The 16,427-nt window shown below is 56.0% G+C and overlaps 1 protein-coding gene and 1 long non-coding RNA gene across 18 annotated transcripts in view, besides 10 other annotated features; one reads left to right on the forward strand and one right to left on the reverse strand.

The window, feature by feature from the left end:
• GSE1 (Gse1 coiled-coil protein) overlaps window positions 1–16,427 on the forward strand; it is a 506,689-nt gene that overhangs the window by 401,049 nt on the left and 89,213 nt on the right. The gene's annotated exons all lie outside the window — the stretch shown is intronic.
• Window positions 355–504: an enhancer, noted in NCBI's record as "active region_11276". NCBI's record gives its function as "activates an Ori minimal core promoter by ATAC-STARR-seq in GM12878 lymphoblastoid cells {active_cell/tissue: GM12878}" and the evidence as "EXISTENCE:reporter gene assay evidence [ECO:0000049][PMID:35858748]".
• Window positions 725–814: an enhancer, noted in NCBI's record as "active region_11277". NCBI's record gives its function as "activates an Ori minimal core promoter by ATAC-STARR-seq in GM12878 lymphoblastoid cells {active_cell/tissue: GM12878}" and the evidence as "EXISTENCE:reporter gene assay evidence [ECO:0000049][PMID:35858748]".
• Window positions 5,996–6,562: an enhancer, noted in NCBI's record as "H3K4me1 hESC enhancer chr16:85610162-85610728 (GRCh37/hg19 assembly coordinates)". NCBI's record gives its function as "activates a minimal SCP1, AML or CMV promoter by ChIP-STARR-seq in naive H9 embryonic stem cells {active_cell/tissue: H9 hESC(naive)}" and the evidence as "EXISTENCE:reporter gene assay evidence [ECO:0000049][PMID:30033119]".
• Window positions 7,128–7,693: an enhancer, noted in NCBI's record as "H3K27ac-H3K4me1 hESC enhancer chr16:85611294-85611859 (GRCh37/hg19 assembly coordinates)". NCBI's record gives its function as "activates a minimal SCP1, AML or CMV promoter by ChIP-STARR-seq in primed H9 embryonic stem cells {active_cell/tissue: H9 hESC(primed)}" and the evidence as "EXISTENCE:reporter gene assay evidence [ECO:0000049][PMID:30033119]".
• GSE1-AS1 (GSE1 antisense RNA 1) lies at window positions 7,969–13,042 on the reverse strand. Its single transcript, NR_198978.1, has 3 exons — window positions 12,783–13,042; window positions 11,459–11,609; window positions 7,969–9,669 (listed from the first exon to the last, which is right to left on the reverse strand). It is a non-coding gene; the product is annotated as a GSE1 antisense RNA 1 (long non-coding RNA).
• Window positions 9,390–9,954: an enhancer, noted in NCBI's record as "H3K27ac-H3K4me1 hESC enhancer chr16:85613556-85614120 (GRCh37/hg19 assembly coordinates)". NCBI's record gives its function as "activates a minimal SCP1, AML or CMV promoter by ChIP-STARR-seq in naive H9 embryonic stem cells {active_cell/tissue: H9 hESC(naive)}" and the evidence as "EXISTENCE:reporter gene assay evidence [ECO:0000049][PMID:30033119]".
• Window positions 12,413–13,022: an enhancer, noted in NCBI's record as "H3K27ac-H3K4me1 hESC enhancer chr16:85616579-85617188 (GRCh37/hg19 assembly coordinates)". NCBI's record gives its function as "activates a minimal SCP1, AML or CMV promoter by ChIP-STARR-seq in primed H9 embryonic stem cells {active_cell/tissue: H9 hESC(primed)}" and the evidence as "EXISTENCE:reporter gene assay evidence [ECO:0000049][PMID:30033119]".
• Window positions 13,023–13,634: an enhancer, noted in NCBI's record as "OCT4-NANOG-H3K27ac-H3K4me1 hESC enhancer chr16:85617189-85617800 (GRCh37/hg19 assembly coordinates)". NCBI's record gives its function as "activates a minimal SCP1, AML or CMV promoter by ChIP-STARR-seq in primed H9 embryonic stem cells {active_cell/tissue: H9 hESC(primed)}" and the evidence as "EXISTENCE:reporter gene assay evidence [ECO:0000049][PMID:30033119]".
• Window positions 13,635–14,245: an enhancer, noted in NCBI's record as "OCT4-NANOG-H3K27ac-H3K4me1 hESC enhancer chr16:85617801-85618411 (GRCh37/hg19 assembly coordinates)". NCBI's record gives its function as "activates a minimal SCP1, AML or CMV promoter by ChIP-STARR-seq in naive H9 embryonic stem cells {active_cell/tissue: H9 hESC(naive)}" and the evidence as "EXISTENCE:reporter gene assay evidence [ECO:0000049][PMID:30033119]".
• Window positions 14,246–14,856: an enhancer, noted in NCBI's record as "H3K4me1 hESC enhancer chr16:85618412-85619022 (GRCh37/hg19 assembly coordinates)". NCBI's record gives its function as "activates a minimal SCP1, AML or CMV promoter by ChIP-STARR-seq in naive H9 embryonic stem cells {active_cell/tissue: H9 hESC(naive)}" and the evidence as "EXISTENCE:reporter gene assay evidence [ECO:0000049][PMID:30033119]".
• Window positions 14,857–15,467: an enhancer, noted in NCBI's record as "H3K4me1 hESC enhancer chr16:85619023-85619633 (GRCh37/hg19 assembly coordinates)". NCBI's record gives its function as "activates a minimal SCP1, AML or CMV promoter by ChIP-STARR-seq in naive H9 embryonic stem cells {active_cell/tissue: H9 hESC(naive)}" and the evidence as "EXISTENCE:reporter gene assay evidence [ECO:0000049][PMID:30033119]".

Here is a 16,427-nt window from a genome sequence, read left to right on the forward strand (position 1 = left end):
AGGGCCCTGTCACCTCCCAGGTTCTAGGGCTCTCGGAGAGAGGTGGCCAGCGGGTCAGACCGGTGGGGTGAGCCGCGTGGGAGGAATAGGAACGCAAATAGCCCGCAACCAACTTTGTTCTCCTTGCCCTGGTTTGGAAAGAGACGTTGGCTTCTTGCAAGTGCAACTGCCAGGGCAGTTCCTGAGCACCTGTTGGTGCCAGGCCCTGGAGGGGCTGAGGGGGAGGGTGGAAAGTCTGTCACAGGATTCTCTCGAAGACCCTGCCGGACGCCGGAGGAGGCAGGAGCTCAGCCGCAAGCCACTGACTCCAAGTTTCTGGGGGTTGGAAGGATACAGGTAACTCCAGGCGCTTGGAGGATGGAAAGTTTCCTTTTGGCTGGAGTGATCTGGGAGGACTTCCTGCAGGAGGTGGTGCTTGAAGCAGATTCTGAAGCGTTGGTTACTTTTGAAAAGGGAAGGTGGGGGAGGTGTGAAGAGGAGAGTGGTTTTTATCTCAGCATGCCACAAACTGTACTGTGTACTCCAGTGACCCGGATCTTGCTAAAGGGGAGGTTCGGATTCAGCGGGTCTGGGAGGGGCCCTAGGCTCTGCCTTTCTAACAAGGCACAGGGGAACTTCCCTCCCTTGAGCCCCGGAGTCACGTGCACCCTTCCAAGGCCCGGGCGGCATCAGTGCTGCTGGCCCAGAGGCCTCACATTGGATAGCCAGGGCACTGGACCTGCACCGCCTAATGTGGTGGCCACTAGCATAGATCCGTGGCTATCAGACCTGAAAACTGAACTGATCAAAATTAAAGAAAATGAAAACTTCAGTGCCCCAATCACAGCAGCTCCATCTTGAGCCCCCAACAGCCACGTGCGGATGGAGGCTGCTCAGTCGGACAGTGCAGATAGAGAGCATTTCCATTGTTCCAGAAAGTTCCACCGGACCGTGCCAGTCCTCAGCCCAGAAGCTGGAAGGCTGGGCCTGCAATCCTCGGAGCGATACTGGCACGGGCCTGGGAGCGTCACCGGGTCTTCTCGGGGAGGCTCTTGAGAGCCTAGTGGGGAGGTCTTTGCCGTGTTTGGGGCCACAGGGACCTGGAGCAGGGACCTGACTGACTGACCTTTTGACATTAAACACAGGAAGGACTGAGGGGGAGAAACAGGTCAGAGACTGCAGGAGGCCCCAGCAAGGGAGGCAGAGGCGTGGGGGCAGAGGCCATGGCGGAGCTCAGGCTGCAGAGGGTCCCTGTCGGTGGCCAGGCCCAGGGAGGAGCTGGCAGCAAGGGACATGTTTGGAATCTGAGAGACGGTGGCTGTCCATGAAATGGGGAAGTGAGTTGGGCGTGGGGGCACAAACCACCAAGTGGCAGTTTCATGAAGGAAGGAGTGGTTTCCATTGTCAAGTGGTATTGGATGTGGGGACCAGGTGGACCCTGGAGGACATCAGTACTAGTGTCTAGTGATGCATACGTAGAACACATAGCACACACACACACGTACAACACATACCACACACCATACACACAACCACACCCCCCCACACCCCACATACCACACACACACCACACACAACGCACACACACACACCACATACCACACACAACACACCACACACACACTGAATACTACACACACACCACATACTACACACACAACACACACAGCACGCACACACCACATACCACACGTACAAAACACACCACACCACACACAACCACACACACACCAACACACCACATACCCCCACACACAACACACACCACATACCACACAACACACCACACACACCACATACCCCTCCACACACAACACACAATCACACACCACACACACCACATACCCCCACACACAAACACACCACACACACTACACACCACACACACACAGCACATACAACACACAGCACATACCACACACACAACACACATCACACACACCACATGCACACAACCACATACCACACACACCACACACACACCGCACACACATACACGTGCACACAACACACAACACGACATACACACACACACCAGGCTGTGTGTGAGCACAGTGTGCCTTGCCTTCTTTTCCAGAGCAGGTTAAATGATGTGCCTGGGATGGGCTGCTTAGAACCCAGCAGGGGCTGCTCCGGAACCCAGTTCTCCTCCCTCGGTTTCCGAGGGCTCCCCCAACCCTAGGGGCCCCTGCTGCTCCAGGACCTCATCCGGGAAAGGGGAGCCAAGGGGTCATTGTGGGCTTTCTGGAAGAGGTGTGGGGCCTTGTCTATTACCTAAAGGAAGGCCCACTTTGGAGAACCTGCAGATGATCAAGTCAGGGCATTGCAAGAGAGGAATCACACATGCAGAGGGCCGGCAGCCCTCTGTCGCCCAGACTGGAGTGCAGTGGCGCTGTCTCTGCTTGCTGCAACCTCCGCCTCCTGGGTTCAAGAGATTCTCCTGTCTCAGCCTCCTGAGTAGCTGGGATTAGAGGCGCACGCCACCACACCTAGCTAATTTTTGTATTTTTAGTAGGGTTTTGCCATATTTGCCAGGCTGGTCTTAAACTCCTGACCTCAGGTGATCCGCCCGCCTCGGCCTCACAAAGTGCTGGGATTACAGGCTTGAGCCACTGCGCCCGGCCCATCCCTTTCTTTTTTTAAAGGATGAAGTCTTGCTATGTTGTCCAGGCTGGCCTCGAAGTCCTGGACTCAAGCCATGTTCACTTTCTGAGTAGCGGTGACTACGGGTGCGCTGCACTGTGCTGGGCTAGTACTTCATTCCTTTTCATAGCCAAGTCGTCTGTCCTGGCCTGGATAGACCACGTTCTGTTTCTCCATGCATCTGTTGATGACGTTCAGCTTGCTTCTACTTTTTGGTTATTACGAATAATGCTGTTGTGAACACTGGCGTGCATGTTTTTGTGTGTCTGTATGTTTTCATTTCTCTTGGGCATGTATCTGTAGTGGGACTGCTGCACCTTCTGGTAAGTCTATTTAACTTTTTGAGGAACTGCCAGACTCTCTTCCTGAGCCTCAGTTTTCCCAGCTGTGAAGTGGAGCTGTGTCCTGGGGTCCTGCTGGTTTTCTGTATCAAGTAGCGTATTTTATTTGGAAACTTGAAGGAGCTGAATGATGTCTTTCATTGCTGCTATTAATAGCAACACCCAGCCATCACAGTGGGCGCGTCCGGAGGGGGAGCCGGCAGGCGCACTGGTTTGTGCCAGTCTGGGCCCGGGAAGCATTTCTCCTCCTCCGGCCACCAGTTGCCTCAGATTGGAGTTATTGTGAGTGAGTGTCCTCCCTGTGTTTCTGGGGAACTTCCTGGGAACTCAAGAAAATGTTTTCCAAAGCTGAATTCCATAGAAAAAGAGACCAAAGCTGGGAAGGGCAGGTGACAGCTGCCACCCTCCTTGTGTGGGAATTTCAGGAGAACTCGGGCAGACGTGGCGCCGTCTCTTTGGCCAGAGAAGAAGCAGGACATCCCATCAGCTCAGCCCCCGCGGGGACTGGCTTGGGAGAGGCCCGCTCCCCACACATGGCGGGCGGGGGCGCCAGGCCTCCCGTCTGGTCCTGACAAGCAGCCCCCGGAGCCTGAGTTTTTCTTGGAAGGCGTCCAACTGGTGCAGAGCTGGCTTGGCCCAGCGCTCTTGTGGGAGAGAAAGGAAGCCATTGAGGGCCGGCCGTGGAAGTTGTAAACTGGATAAATGACCCTCCATAGCAGGCCCCCAGAATGCTTTTCCTCTGCTCTGCAGTGAGAAGCCAGCCTGGGAAAATCCCAGTGTTCATTATTCAGCTGCTTCCCAGAGAGGACAAGTGACCTGCCTGGGGTCACACAGCCAGTTAGAGGCCAAACTAGGAGGGCTCTTCTTGACACCCGGCTGGGTCTTTCCGGAGCTCTGCAATCCACCTGTCTGCTATCCCATCAAAACCCGAGGCTTACTCCCTGCGCGTCAGCAGTAGCCGAACTCTGCGAAGTTGTCCCTTCCGCCTCGGACGAGGCCCCGGGGTCAGAAAGCTACAGGAAGTGACCTCGTAGAACACACCCAAAGCCAGGTCATTCCTTTCTGGGCCTAGGTCATTCCTTTCTGGGCCTCTCCGCCCGGCCTCCAGAGGACACCTGGGCTGTGATGCCAAGAGCCCAAGAAGGCGCTGGTGTGGAATGTGCCAGATGTTTTTTTTCCTTCGGAAAACACTGTGTCCTGTCCGCTGGTGGCTCTGCTGAGATTTGGCTGGTCTCCTCCTGTGCTTCAGGTCCCCTGGGTCTCCTCCTCACCCAGCTACAGCCAGGGTGGGAGGCAGCAGGCATCGGTCACGGACCCTTGGGGGCTCCCTGCTGGAGCCTGCCCTGGTTATATTGGGATCTGCGCTCCAGGCAGGCGGGGGATTTAACCCTGAGCGTCCCCTCTTTAGATTGAGCCAGCTTGTCTTCGCACCCTCCCGACAAGGCCGGGCAGCCCCCTTGCCCTGCCAGCGGCTTGCTTCAAAGGTTAATCCCCTCGCTGGGGAGCGGCTCCCCGCTCCCCCTCTCCCCCGCCCCCCGGCTTTTTACGCTCCAGTTAATTAAATGTGGCTGCCTATTGTCAGAAGACAAAGTTGGATATTTATCACACCTTGGCGCTACAGAATGTCAGAGGCACGCACAGTTTGAAGAAATACTGGCAGGGAATGAGGCTGAGCATATGTCCACAGGGCCAGGGCAGGCAGGTGGCAGCCACCTCTGCAACCTGCGGTGCTCCCAGCTTTGGCTGTGGCGAGCAGCTTTCAAACGAGGCACTCCAGGATTTGTGTTTACCCGGGGAGTTCTGGCGGAATCTAGGAGATCTGCTATCCGGCATAAACATCCTGGTTCCGGAGATTATTTCATTGGAAGGAATTAAGGATGCCGTTAAAATACACACAGACCCCTCCTTGCTTCGCTCTGGTGCTGTGTGCCCTGTGGGGACCGGCTTCCCTCTCGTCTCCCCTCTCGTCTCCCCTCTTTTCTGATCTCCTCCTTGGGCTTTCACATTTTATTTTTATTTTTTCACTTGGGCACTGCAAAAACACACGGCTAATTGCGATTTCTTTTTCATGACGGGCGGGAGGGGCATATGGATGTGTTCATTTTATAGGGTTTTTTTCCTCCCCCTTAATAATAATGCTTTAAAGATGTTTGACATCTGTAACTAACAGCTGGCATCCTGTTATGGAAGAATGTCCTTTTATTTCAAAGCAGGTTGAACTGTCATTAATAGTATAATTAGGTGATTATCACTATATAGCAGAAAACTGCTTAATTGTAGAGATCGCTTTTCTAGGATTCCAGTCTTTTTATGGTTATATTTGTTTTAGCTGTTGAATTTTCATTATATTTTGGCATTTGGTATGCTGCCTCGTTTCTGTTTTTTTTTTTTTTTTCCCCTTCCTGTTTTTTAATGTGTCTGACAGCTGTCTTTGGGAGCATTTGGTTTTGAAGGTGCTCCTGGTGTTAGAGCAGTGACGGGGGAGTATTACCTGGAAGAGGTTTCTTATCCTGGGCCCTGCTTAACACATTCTGTGCCAGGCCAGAGGCCCACAGGAGCAAGGCCAGGAATACCGGTGCCCTTTGATTTATCTGATCTCTCTCTGGGTAATAGTATGGAATTAGACATTTAACCCTGGAGCTAAGGTTGTCTGTTAAGAGGCCAGCTTTTACAATGCAATTTATTTTTATGGTGCGTCCTTAATACACAATATTACCAAATGCTTCGGAGTCTCTTGGATTCCAGAGGGAAAGGCACATTTAAAGGGACATGGTCTCCGATGTAACTGGAATTTGAAAATAAATGGGTTTTCCAGACTCTACGAGGAAATAGTTTATCTCTTAACGAAGGACTTTGAAATGAGCATAGAGGTGGGCTTGCTTTTGAAAAGCGAAGGGAAGCCAAACGCTGCCCCTTCCACACTTTTGGAGCCTAGACGTCCTTATTGGTCTCTGCTAGAGGCCTGGGGTAGATGCTGGAGCTCGGATCACCTGACATCTGGGCCGCATGTCTTCCTCTAGCAAGTCCCGAATTGACTGTCTGCTCTCCCGGGAGAAGCTGTCCCCAGACCCTTTCTTCCTAACTAAGCCCTGCCAAGAGCAGGGGTATGTTATGGGTATTACGGGGCATTTTTTGAAGGGTCACCTATTCTTGATGTAGAGTTTTAGAAACGCTTTTCTTTCCCAAGTGTCCAGGAGGGACTAAAAGCAGTTGTGTCCTGGGGTTGCAAATCTGGGTTCCAGGCTTGCTTGGGGACTGATGCCCTGGTGTGTCCTTGGGGATCATGGTGCTTCTGTCTTGCTTTGCCACTGCAAAGCCTGTGGATTAGACACGGGGACCCTGGGTCATCACTGGGCTCTCACAGCTTCTCCCACCCCAGTTTTGCAACACTGCCTGGTTTACAAGAGCAGGCAGGCCCTTCCCTGAATGCAGGCCCTGCATGGGGGCTTTAGGTGACCCTGTCTTGATTATCACAGTCAGGACGCTGAGGTCCTGGAGGTGAGCTGACCATCCCCAAGCACCCGGCCAGGGGCATCACAGTCAGGACTTGGGTCCTGGAGGTGAGCTGACCTTCCCCGGGCACCCGGCCAGGGGCATCACAGTCAGGACGCTGGGGTCCTGGAGGTGAGCTGACCGTCCCTGGGCACCCGGCCAGGGGCAGAGGCAGGTCTTCTCCTCTGCGGTTCTCTTCATGGTAGGTGGTGGCTGATGCCCTTGAAGTTGGGGTCCCAGAAAGTGGAGGTGCCCAGCCTGCCCAGTGGTGATCACCTCGAGGAGGGAGGACGCGGTCCTCTCAGGGAAGTGGGGTGTGCATTCGGGGCACTTGGGTTTTTCTCTGCTGTCCCTGCAAGGGTGGTGGAGGAAGTGCTTCAGGGCCAGCCAGGGCAGGTCTGCTGTGACAAGGACCCCACCACCCCACCCAGCAGCTGGAGGACATCCAAAGAGTCCTCCATCCTGGGCTAGCCAGAGCTGAAGCTTATTGAGCGCCTACTCTATGCAGTACCTGCATGGGCTCATTTCTCCTTCGCACTAGCCCAGGAGGCAGCGCTGCGATTATCCCCCTTTCACAGAGGAGGGGCTGACCCCAGAGAGGCACAGTCACCTGCCCAGGGTGAGTGTGGCACAGAGGTCGAGGGTCACCCGGCAGGTCCTGATCACCCATCCTAGGAAGGGGTGGCCTGGCTCTACCCTTGACTCAGGAACTGATGTTTCTTTCTACCCTTGCCCAGGAGTTTTAGGAAGAAGCCCGGGTCCCCCACCCCAGCAGGGCAGATAAAGGCTTGGGTTCCAGGTTTCCCCTTTTCCACTCCAGTCCTCCAGGGGCTCCAGCATTTTGCATTTCTCAGTTGAGCTGAGCCTTCCAAGCCAGTCAGCAGTACAGGTGCTGATGCCCGATGGCCGTGCCTTTGCAGAGCCCGGCTTGCTGCTGTGCGCTGTGTGGCTCCAGGCAAGTTGCTTCCCCTCTCTGAGCCTCTTTCTTTGCTGTCAGCCACCTGGTGTTGGGAGGCTGCAGCCTTTGTTCTCCTGCGAGGAGGCTGCTGAAAGGCCTGCAGTTCTTCCGTTGAATTCCGGCCCCTCCCAGCTCTCCACTCTGGCTGGCACCCAGCAGGCTGGAGGAGATTGGCAGGGCCTCTCCCCAGGACCCCCTGAGCCGCCCCAGATATTGTGCGCTGACACCTGGGAGGGCGGCACCGGGACAGCTGCTTGCTGTGCGGCTTCCCCCAGGTTTTATGGCTGGAGGGATAAATTACCCCTTCATCAGCGTTTTCACCTGAATGCCATGGATAACGGTGGCAGCCTGTCCCGAACGCCAGGCTCCAAGTGCCTGGGCTCCCCAGACGACAGAGGCACAAGTCACTGGGCCTTTAGTCCTTCTGTTGGCAGGGGCTGGTTCCCATTTCACATGTGGGGCAGCTAAGGCTCAGAGAGCTTCTCCCCCGCCCCTCACATGCATGGCCCTCCCTTTCCCGACTTTCTCTGTCTTGTTCTGTGCAACAAGCGTGTGTTAGCTGTGGTTACTGTTTTTATTTTGCAGGGAGGAACAAAAGCTTAAAGGGCTAACTGACTTGCCCAGCATCCCAGGGCCAGGAGGTGGTAGATGCAGGAATCTAACAGAACAGCAGGCCAAGTGTCCCCCGAATCAGGCAGCTTCCCTGCTGGAAACCCTCTTGAGAGTAAAAGCCAGCATTCTCTGCCTCCACTACCCCTCACCACACATGGCCCCACCTCAGGGCCTTTGCACAGGCTAGTCTCTCTTGCTCATTCAGGCCTCTGCTCAGATGCCACCTTTGAGGCTCTCTGGCCACCGTGCACCCCGGTCACTCACCCATCCTGCACACCTGATGTGCATTTTTTTTTTTTTTAGCATCTTACTGCGTCTCCTCAACTGGACTGTAAGCTCCCCCCAGCACAGCGATCTGGTTTGTCTTGTTCTCTGTGGCATCCTGATGCTGGCACAGTACCAGGCACACAGCAGGCGCTTAATCAATGTCAGTGGGCTGCCACACCTCTCTGCAGGTCAAAAGCTAGCATCTTGGGATTTAAGGTTCTTTCTGCCCTTAGGCCTAAATAGTCTAAAAAGAGAGAACTTGGGAGAAGTGGGGTGACCTTGGTGGTGTCAGCTTGGAGCTTCTGGGCTTGGGGGAACCCGAGTGGTTTAGGAGCAACGCTGGTCGGGGTGGAGGGGACCCTCCCCTCTGGGTGGGGCTTGGGGTATCAGAGGGCTCTACCCTTGGGGCGGGGCTTCTGCCTGGAGGGTAGAATGGGGTTTTTCCAAAAACTAACCCACCCACTTCTTTTGAAATTCTGGCTGGGGCCAGCTTGGGTCGGTGGCAGACACAGCAGGTCTTTGTATCCTTGGAATCCTTCTGAAGCCAACTTGGGGAGGGCGCTTTGTATTGTAAATTTCCGCAGAGTAATTATGTCTTAATGTATGATAATCCGGCCTGGCCCTGGCGCTGGGCAGCCTGTGTCTGCAGCGGTTGCTGCCGGGGACTCACAGGCCGGGCAGGCAGGTCAGAGGGACGCGTCCTGGAGATCCAGGGCCAGCAGGGTCGATCCTGAGGGGCCTGGGGGATTCCCCAGACCTACGCCTGGGAGACCCATGAAGGGCTTGTGTTTTTGGTGCGGCCTCCCGTCTCTCTTCCTAGTCAGAGTCCTCCAAGGAGCCCCATCTCAGATCCCAGTCCCGGGTTCCTGCTGAAAGTTCCTTTTCGGTCTGGGCCAGGAAGAGAGTCATGGAACTACCAAGTCTTAGGTTAGAACTAGCCCTGAAAGATCGTCTAGGCTTGGCTTGAAATAGCTCCATGGATGGGGAGCTCACCCCAGTCAATCAGCAAGCAGTTATTGAGCATCTACTGGCTGCTAGGCACTACACACTAGTCACTAAGGCCCTGAGGAACCAGGGCTAAACTGAAAAGACAAAAATCCTGGAGCGGCTGGAACTGACTTAGTAGTTAGAGAGGCAGACAGTAGACAAGGGAAATAAAGTGGAATGCATGTTAGGGCTGCAGAGAAGGGATACAGCTGGGAGGAGGGTGAGAGAAGGGTGGAGTTTTGATGGGACAACCAGAGAGGGCCTCTTCTCTCTTTCTGGGGGAAGGGCAGGCCATGTGAAGAGAACAGCAGTGCAGAGGCCCCATGGCTGGAACGTGGCTCCTGGACTATGTTGCTTGGAATGTTCACTCTGTGGATGTTTGCTGAGCTCCTGCAGGGGAAGAGGACATTCTGGGCTGTCCCGATGATGTTCCAGTCTCACAGTGGAAAAGCGTGTAGGGAGAGGGAGAAGGGGTGAGTGCAGAGAGGGAGAGAGCAAGGGAGGGCCCTTCCTGGAGAAGCGGGAGGCCTTGGGCAGCAGCCGGCCAGCCCTGAAGGCTGGCCAGCATCCGAACCCCGCCAAGGAGGGAGGCTGCGTGCTCTCTGCCTCCCCACTGAACTGGGCTCCTTCCTGCCATTGAGCCTCTCAGACCTCTGCTCTCAGCCAGAGAGACTGGGTTTAGACCCATTTGAGACATGCCCCAGCGATGCCCAGGGACACCGCAGCCTCCTGTTGGGTCACAAGGCCTGGCTGTGGTGGCTGACATCTGTTGGTATCCTTGTCACAGGCTGAATGTTTGTGCTCCCCCAAATTCAGATGTGGAAGCCCCGACCCTCAGGGTGGCTGTATTTGGAAATGGAGCCTCTAAGGAAATAGTTATGGTTAAGTGAGGTTCTCAGGGTGGGCCCCTGCTCTGCTAGGATTAGTGTCCTCACAGGAGGAGACCCCAGAGAGTGCGCTGTCTCCGTCACGTGAGCTCTCGGCCAGAAGGCAGCCGTCTGCAATCCAAGCAGGGAGCCCTCCACGGAAATCAACCCTGCCAGCACCTTGATCTTGGCCTTCCAGCCTTAAGAACTATGAGAAAATAAATTTCTGTGTTTAAGCCACGAAGTCTGGGGTGTTTTGTTTGGTAGCCTGAGCAGAGATGCACAGTTGCTGAGGCCCTGGAGGTGACATCCAGGCATTGAGCTCTTGCCCTGCTGGACATTAGGTCAGAGGGACACTGGTGGTTGGCTGATTTTGCCTTTGAACAGGGATGGTTTTAATAAGGATTTGGTGAGGTGATCAGCCTGTGTGTGTTGGGAGGGCATCCCACATGGGCTCCTCTCTCCGCAGCAGCTCTCCAGCCTCCTTCAGAAGGGAGCTTCAGTGGGGAGGGGGCTGGTGGAGGAAGCCCCAAGAGAGGGGGAGGATCTCTTTCTGCCCCATGCCCCCTGCCCCTTACCCACCACCCAGGAAATGAGGAAGGTTGGCAGCTTGGAAGCAGGGGGATGGGACCTTGATGTCTTCAGGTTGCTGGGGGCCGTACTGCACGGTGTCCCTGGCAACTGAATGCAGGGCTCCGGCCTGGGTGGGAAGGGTCTCTGCTGAAGCCGGACGAACCCTGGGGAGAGCCTTTTAGGATTCGGATTCTGGGGAGCTGACGGGTTATCAGGCCCTCTGTTTCTGGAGAGAGGTTTATGCCACAGTTGTGGGGAGAGACCCCAAGGCAGGACCCTGGAGAGCCTGGTCCTACCGCTCTCCTCTTCCGTAGAAGTTCAGCATGCGTCTCTGTGCATGCGCATGTGCATATGTGTGCAGGGGACAGAGAGACAGGTTTGGTCCAGCAATCCGGCCGTCCTAAATGCAGTGTGCATTTCTGTGCTCAGGGTGAATTGGGCTGACCTGTGACCTGTCCCCTTCAGTGAGCTCGCCCTTCCTTGAGAGGAGGGCTGCATCAGGCACGAGTGGATGGGGTCTACACCCAGGGCTGCGGCTTCCCCTGCTGAAGTTCCTGTCCCCCACTGGCTGCATCCGAATCTTATGGGGTTCTAGAAAACACAAACTTCCTTGGGTTTCTACCACCCAGCAAATCCCAGCCAGAGGATCTGGGGTGGGGCCTGGGAGTCTACATTTTTCAAAGCTCCCCACCCCAAGTTGGGTGATCAGTCAGATTGAAGAGACAGATACTGCCAGCTACCTGGGGTGGAGTGGGTGCTGGCTCTTGTGGGATCCGTCTCCTGGGCCTCCATCCCTGGGCTCCTGGGGCGGAATTGGGTGGGGAAGGAGGCAAGAGGAGACACAGCCACTTCCGCAGGCACGCTGGTGTCATCGCACTGAAAACTCCAAACCTGGCAAATGTAAGAGGATTCACTTAGCACCCGAACGGGGCTCTGCAAACATTGCCCCTCCTCCCCCGAGGTGTCGGCACCCCCTGGATTAATGTGTCTCGGCGAGAAGGGAGCGTGCCAGTATTCAGTGTGACCTTGGATCCTCCATCCCTTCGCCTTCGGGTGGAACTCCACTGCAGAAGCTGGCTGCGGTTCATGGGGGATGGGGAAGCCCCCACGTGCTGGGTTCCTGGGAATGCTAAGTGCAGGAGAGGAAATGGTGTTCTTGGGGCCTTTTTGGGGACTGGCCAGAGCCCGGTCACTTGGGAAAGGGTGAAGCTTCCTTGGACCCGACATCCCCTGGGAGGACCCTCCTTGGCGAGGGGAGGAGCCCTGCCTGGCTTGCTTCCTGGGTGGCTCCTCCCTCTGGTGGTCCTCAGTCAGCACTGGTGGCATCCCCAGAGCTGACACCCAGTTCCCCCTTACGCAGCCGCCTGGGGTGCCTGGAGCTCAGTCCTCCCCGTGTTGATAAATTGAGCTTCTCTTCTCCACGGTTCAGGGCGTCGGGGTGGGGACGGGGCCATCCTGCACAACCCCCCCTCGCCTCTTAATGCCTTTTCACCCCTGAGAGCCTGTCTGCACAGCCTGCGGTTGGTCGGCCGCCTTGTCATTTAGCTGTTCCGAGCCAGTGATCGGGAGGCAGCACAAACTGTGGCATTTGCTGAGCGTAAAAATTCAATTAATTCCAGAAGGCAGATTAAATATAAGTGAGTTTTAATAATTTGCTGTAAAGTCGGAGGATTACTGTGGGCACGGGGAGGGAAGCCACACATGCGTGCTTGAGCAGGCTGGCACAGTCTCGGGGATGCCAGCCAGGGTGGCTTCCTGGAGCCACTCATTCCTCCCCGCAGGGTACACCCCCAGCTCTCCAGAGGACACCCTCCTGCGAGGGTGGTGTCCTGGGGGTCTCCCGCTGGAATTCTGGGGGACGGTAGGAAACGCTGGCCCAGTCTTTGATTCCAACCCTGTTCCCCCGATTACAAGGGTAATAGGCAGGACATACAGCGATTCTCAGTTGGGGGTTCCTTCTAGGATCCCCAGGGAGTGAGCTGTCTGCCCAGGCAGACCTGGCCATGTGTGCCCTGTGCCCTGCAGCTCTGCCAGCAGCCCCTGGTCCTGTTCCCTCAAACTCACCTTTCTCTGCCTGCTTCCAGGGTCCTCCATAGCTGACGGCTTCCAGGTCTGGGCCCCAGGGTGGTTTTGTTGTCATAACTTTTTGGAAAGTAAAGCAGTATCAAGAATGGGCTGCAGACTCCTCAGATTCCAAGGCTCTCGGCCTTTCCAGGACCGCCCCCCACCCCCATTCCAACACACACACAAACACACACACACACACGCCTGAAGTCACACACGCAGGAACTCACACATGCTCACACATTCGCACGCAAACTCACACACGGGCCCTGTGCTCTCCCAGCATGCCAGTGAGTGAGTCACCTTCCTGCAGCACCCCCATATTCAGATGCATGTGAGAGTGGGGGCTTTTCATGCCTGCCTTTTGTCTTTACCCACTGCCAAAACACAAAAAAACAAAAGAGGAGGCCTCACCCGCCCCCCGTCCTCCTCCTGTCGTGCCACGAGAAATGAGGCCTGACCCAGAAAAGGCAATTGCTGGAGGGGCTGTCTGGAGCCTGCCTCCCCGGCGGCCTCTGCTCCCAGGGAGGGGAGTGAGGGAAAGGAGGCAGGCAGCTTTTATGTAAAGACAGTGATGGTCCAGTGAGTACAAAACGCTGTTTCAAAGCCAGCGTTCATCACTACCACTTCCCACTGTGATCTCCATAGATTTCTTTGTCTCCTTCAATTGGCCCTAATTATGGAGCTGGAGGCTGCCTGATCAGTTTCATTCTTGTCATGAAATCCTGAGGGCACGCATGGGGACGGGGACACAGGCTCGCCAGCTGCACAGCCCGCAGACTGGCCTTGGGTCTTTGTGTGCGTGCGTGCCGGTGCGTGGGCCCCTGTCTGTTTGGAGACCTTCCTCCCCCTCTGCGTGTTCCCCAAGATGCCAGGCTGGTTCGGGGCCCCTGGCTCCCCTCTTTTTGGGCAGGAGGGAGTTCCCAGTGGGCCTCCCAGCTGAGAACTGGCTAGCTGGGATGTGCATATGGTAGGCAGGCTGGGATGCTGGCTACCACCAAGATGAACACCTGCAAAGATGAAAGCCACAGCCAAGCGGAGCACACCCCGCCTTCCCTCCACGCTGCCTCTAATGCCCTAATTATGCCGTGTTTGTTTCAGTAATTTACACTCTCCGGGTACTGATCCATCAATAGTGAATGTATTACCTGTCTCCGTGAGGTTTGGGAGATCCAGGATGCTGCTTTGAGAACGCCTGCGAAGCAGTAGGATCGGGGAGGTGGAGCAGTTTCCCCCACCCCTCCCTCTCCCCGCACGCGTTCTTTCTCAGATGGCAGCGTTATTTGGCGAAAGCCATCTGAGGCTGGTACTTGGTACTGCTTTTCCGTTCCCCCTCCGTTTTATGCCTTTTTAATATTTAAAACCATCATTGGGCTGAACGATAAAATTCTTTCAAATCAAATTTTATCCTCTAATCTCGTGCATTGGCTTCCCTCTGGCCGGAAAAGTTGGTGGGAGCAGCACGGCTGAGCAGGGTGTGGGGGTGGCTCTGCAGGATGGAAACGCGTGCCAAGGTGGAGGCTGCCAAGACCCTCGCCCCCTGCACTCCTTCCCCCACCCCTCCAGCCCCATCCACAACCTCCAAGGAGGCAAACCGTGGGGCCACGTGGCCCGGGTTGTCACGGTAATGGGATGCGCCAGAGATGGCCAGGGAAGTCCGAAGACCTCGTCTTCCAAGGCCAAATCCAGCGTATGGGGCAGGAGCTTTCACTGACGGGAAAGAAAAGTTGCGAGGACATTTTCTAAAAGGTGAAAAAAAAAGGCGTGATCAGCTGCTGAGCCGTTTGCCGCTTTCCACCTGCTGTTGTCTCTGGCGAGGCCACAGAGGATGGGACAATAAAAACGTGCTGGCCTGCAGGAACCCCTGCTGCAGCCCTGCCTGCCCTGCTGTGTGTCACCGGCGTCCTGGGGTCCAGAGGCTTCTACCCATTGGTCCCCAAGGGCTCCAGGAACCAGAGGCCCATCCAGGATGGCTCCAAGCCCTGCCCTGGGGCTTTCCTTCTCTCTTCCCTTTTTGGCGGTTCTTCTGTATGGCAGCCGAGAGGGCATTTTCAGGGTGCCCAGGCATGACCCCTGAGCTTGGAGGCCCGTGCCGTGAGACCCCATGGAGTACGCCCAGGACAGCAGGACTCTCCTCTGTGTCGCCTACGTTTCTCCAAACACTCGCTTTGGCACGTGGTTGCCTTTGGGGTGTCTTTCTGCCCAGCTGGGTCTCCATGTGGGGAGGAGGGAGGGAGACTTTCCTGCCCTGTCCCAGCCCCAGTCTAGACCCCTCCCATCATTGCAGTCTGCTGCAGGGCCCAAGGGGCCCATCCTGGTTCTGGAACTCTTCCTGCATGGCCATGGGCAAGTGCCGTCCCTTCTCTGGGCCTCACTTTCCTTGTTTATAGAGCTGACGGCGATGACACGAGCATCATCCCACTCTGAGAGCTTCCCAGCCAGTGTCTTAAGTGTCTGATCCACATACATTTCCTTTGGCTGCAGGGTGCGACTTGGGACCTGTGTGAGGAGTGTGGACTTGGAGCCAGCCTGCCTAGGGTCACTTCCTGCCTCTGACAATTGTTAGCTGTGTGACCTTGGGCAAGTTACTCAACCTCTCTGTGCCTCAGTTCCCTCACTTGTAAATGGGGGTAATAGAAGAGCCTGCATCTTGGTGGGAGGTGCAGGTTCACCCCAAGGCTGGCTCCCTTTGAGGGCTGGGAGGGAAGGGTCTGTCCAGGCAGGCCTCTCTCCCCTACTTGGCCGTCCGTTCCCTGTGTCTCTTCGCATCATCATTCTGCTGTCTGCATCTGTCTCTGTGTCCAGATTTCCCCTTGTTAGAAGGACTCCAGTCAGTGGGTTCAGGCCCACCCTACCCCAGTGTGACCTCATCTGAACTAATTAATTACATCTGCAATTTCCAGATGAGGGCACATTTTGTGGCACTGGGGGTTAGGACTTCAGCGTAAGAATTTGGGGGACACAGTTTAGCCCATGACATAGGTGTTGCCTCGGACGGCGGAGCCCTGGCCTGGATGCCTTTGTCCGTGAGGTTCCCGAGTGCCGAGTGCCGGGAGGGACAGCCCCTCTCCTCCAGCCCCATCTCTCTGATCTCGCCTTCCCATGGGCTCAGCCCGAAGGCTGTTTCATGAGCGTCATCATCGGTCGGCCCTGGTATGTTTGTTCTTCCAGGGGCTCCCAGGATGGATCCAGTCCCTCCCGGGAGCCGGGCCACACCAGCTGTCCCACTGCCAGGCCGCATGGCCAAGAGTCGCAGCTGCTCCTACAACGTGCTCACGGGCCCGACGCCGGCCCCCGCGCCCCCCCGACTGCCGTGCTCCATGGCTTCCCATGTGGAAAGTATCACCCCTCCCACCTCTGAGAGCAGCCGTGTGAGACCCCCGTCCACAGCCCCGGCATGGAGGGCCTCTTTCTCCTGGGCTGCAGGAAACCCCGGAGCCGGTGGGCTCTCCTCCGTGCCCCCAGGCCCCCTGGCAGCCCCTCCCTACTCCCCCAGCTCAGGCGAGCTCAGTGCAGAAGGCACAGTAGCTAACTTTCTTATTTTAAATAATTCCAGCATGCAGCGCGAGAGGAGTAAGTGCCCGCAGCTGCCAGGGGGCTGGATGGAGCTGTTTTGATTGCACTACCATGGTTGAGAGTGAGGGT

This window comes from Homo sapiens, chromosome 16, assembly GCF_000001405.40.
Source record: "Homo sapiens chromosome 16, GRCh38.p14 Primary Assembly".
NCBI lineage: Eukaryota > Metazoa > Chordata > Mammalia > Primates > Hominidae > Homo > Homo sapiens.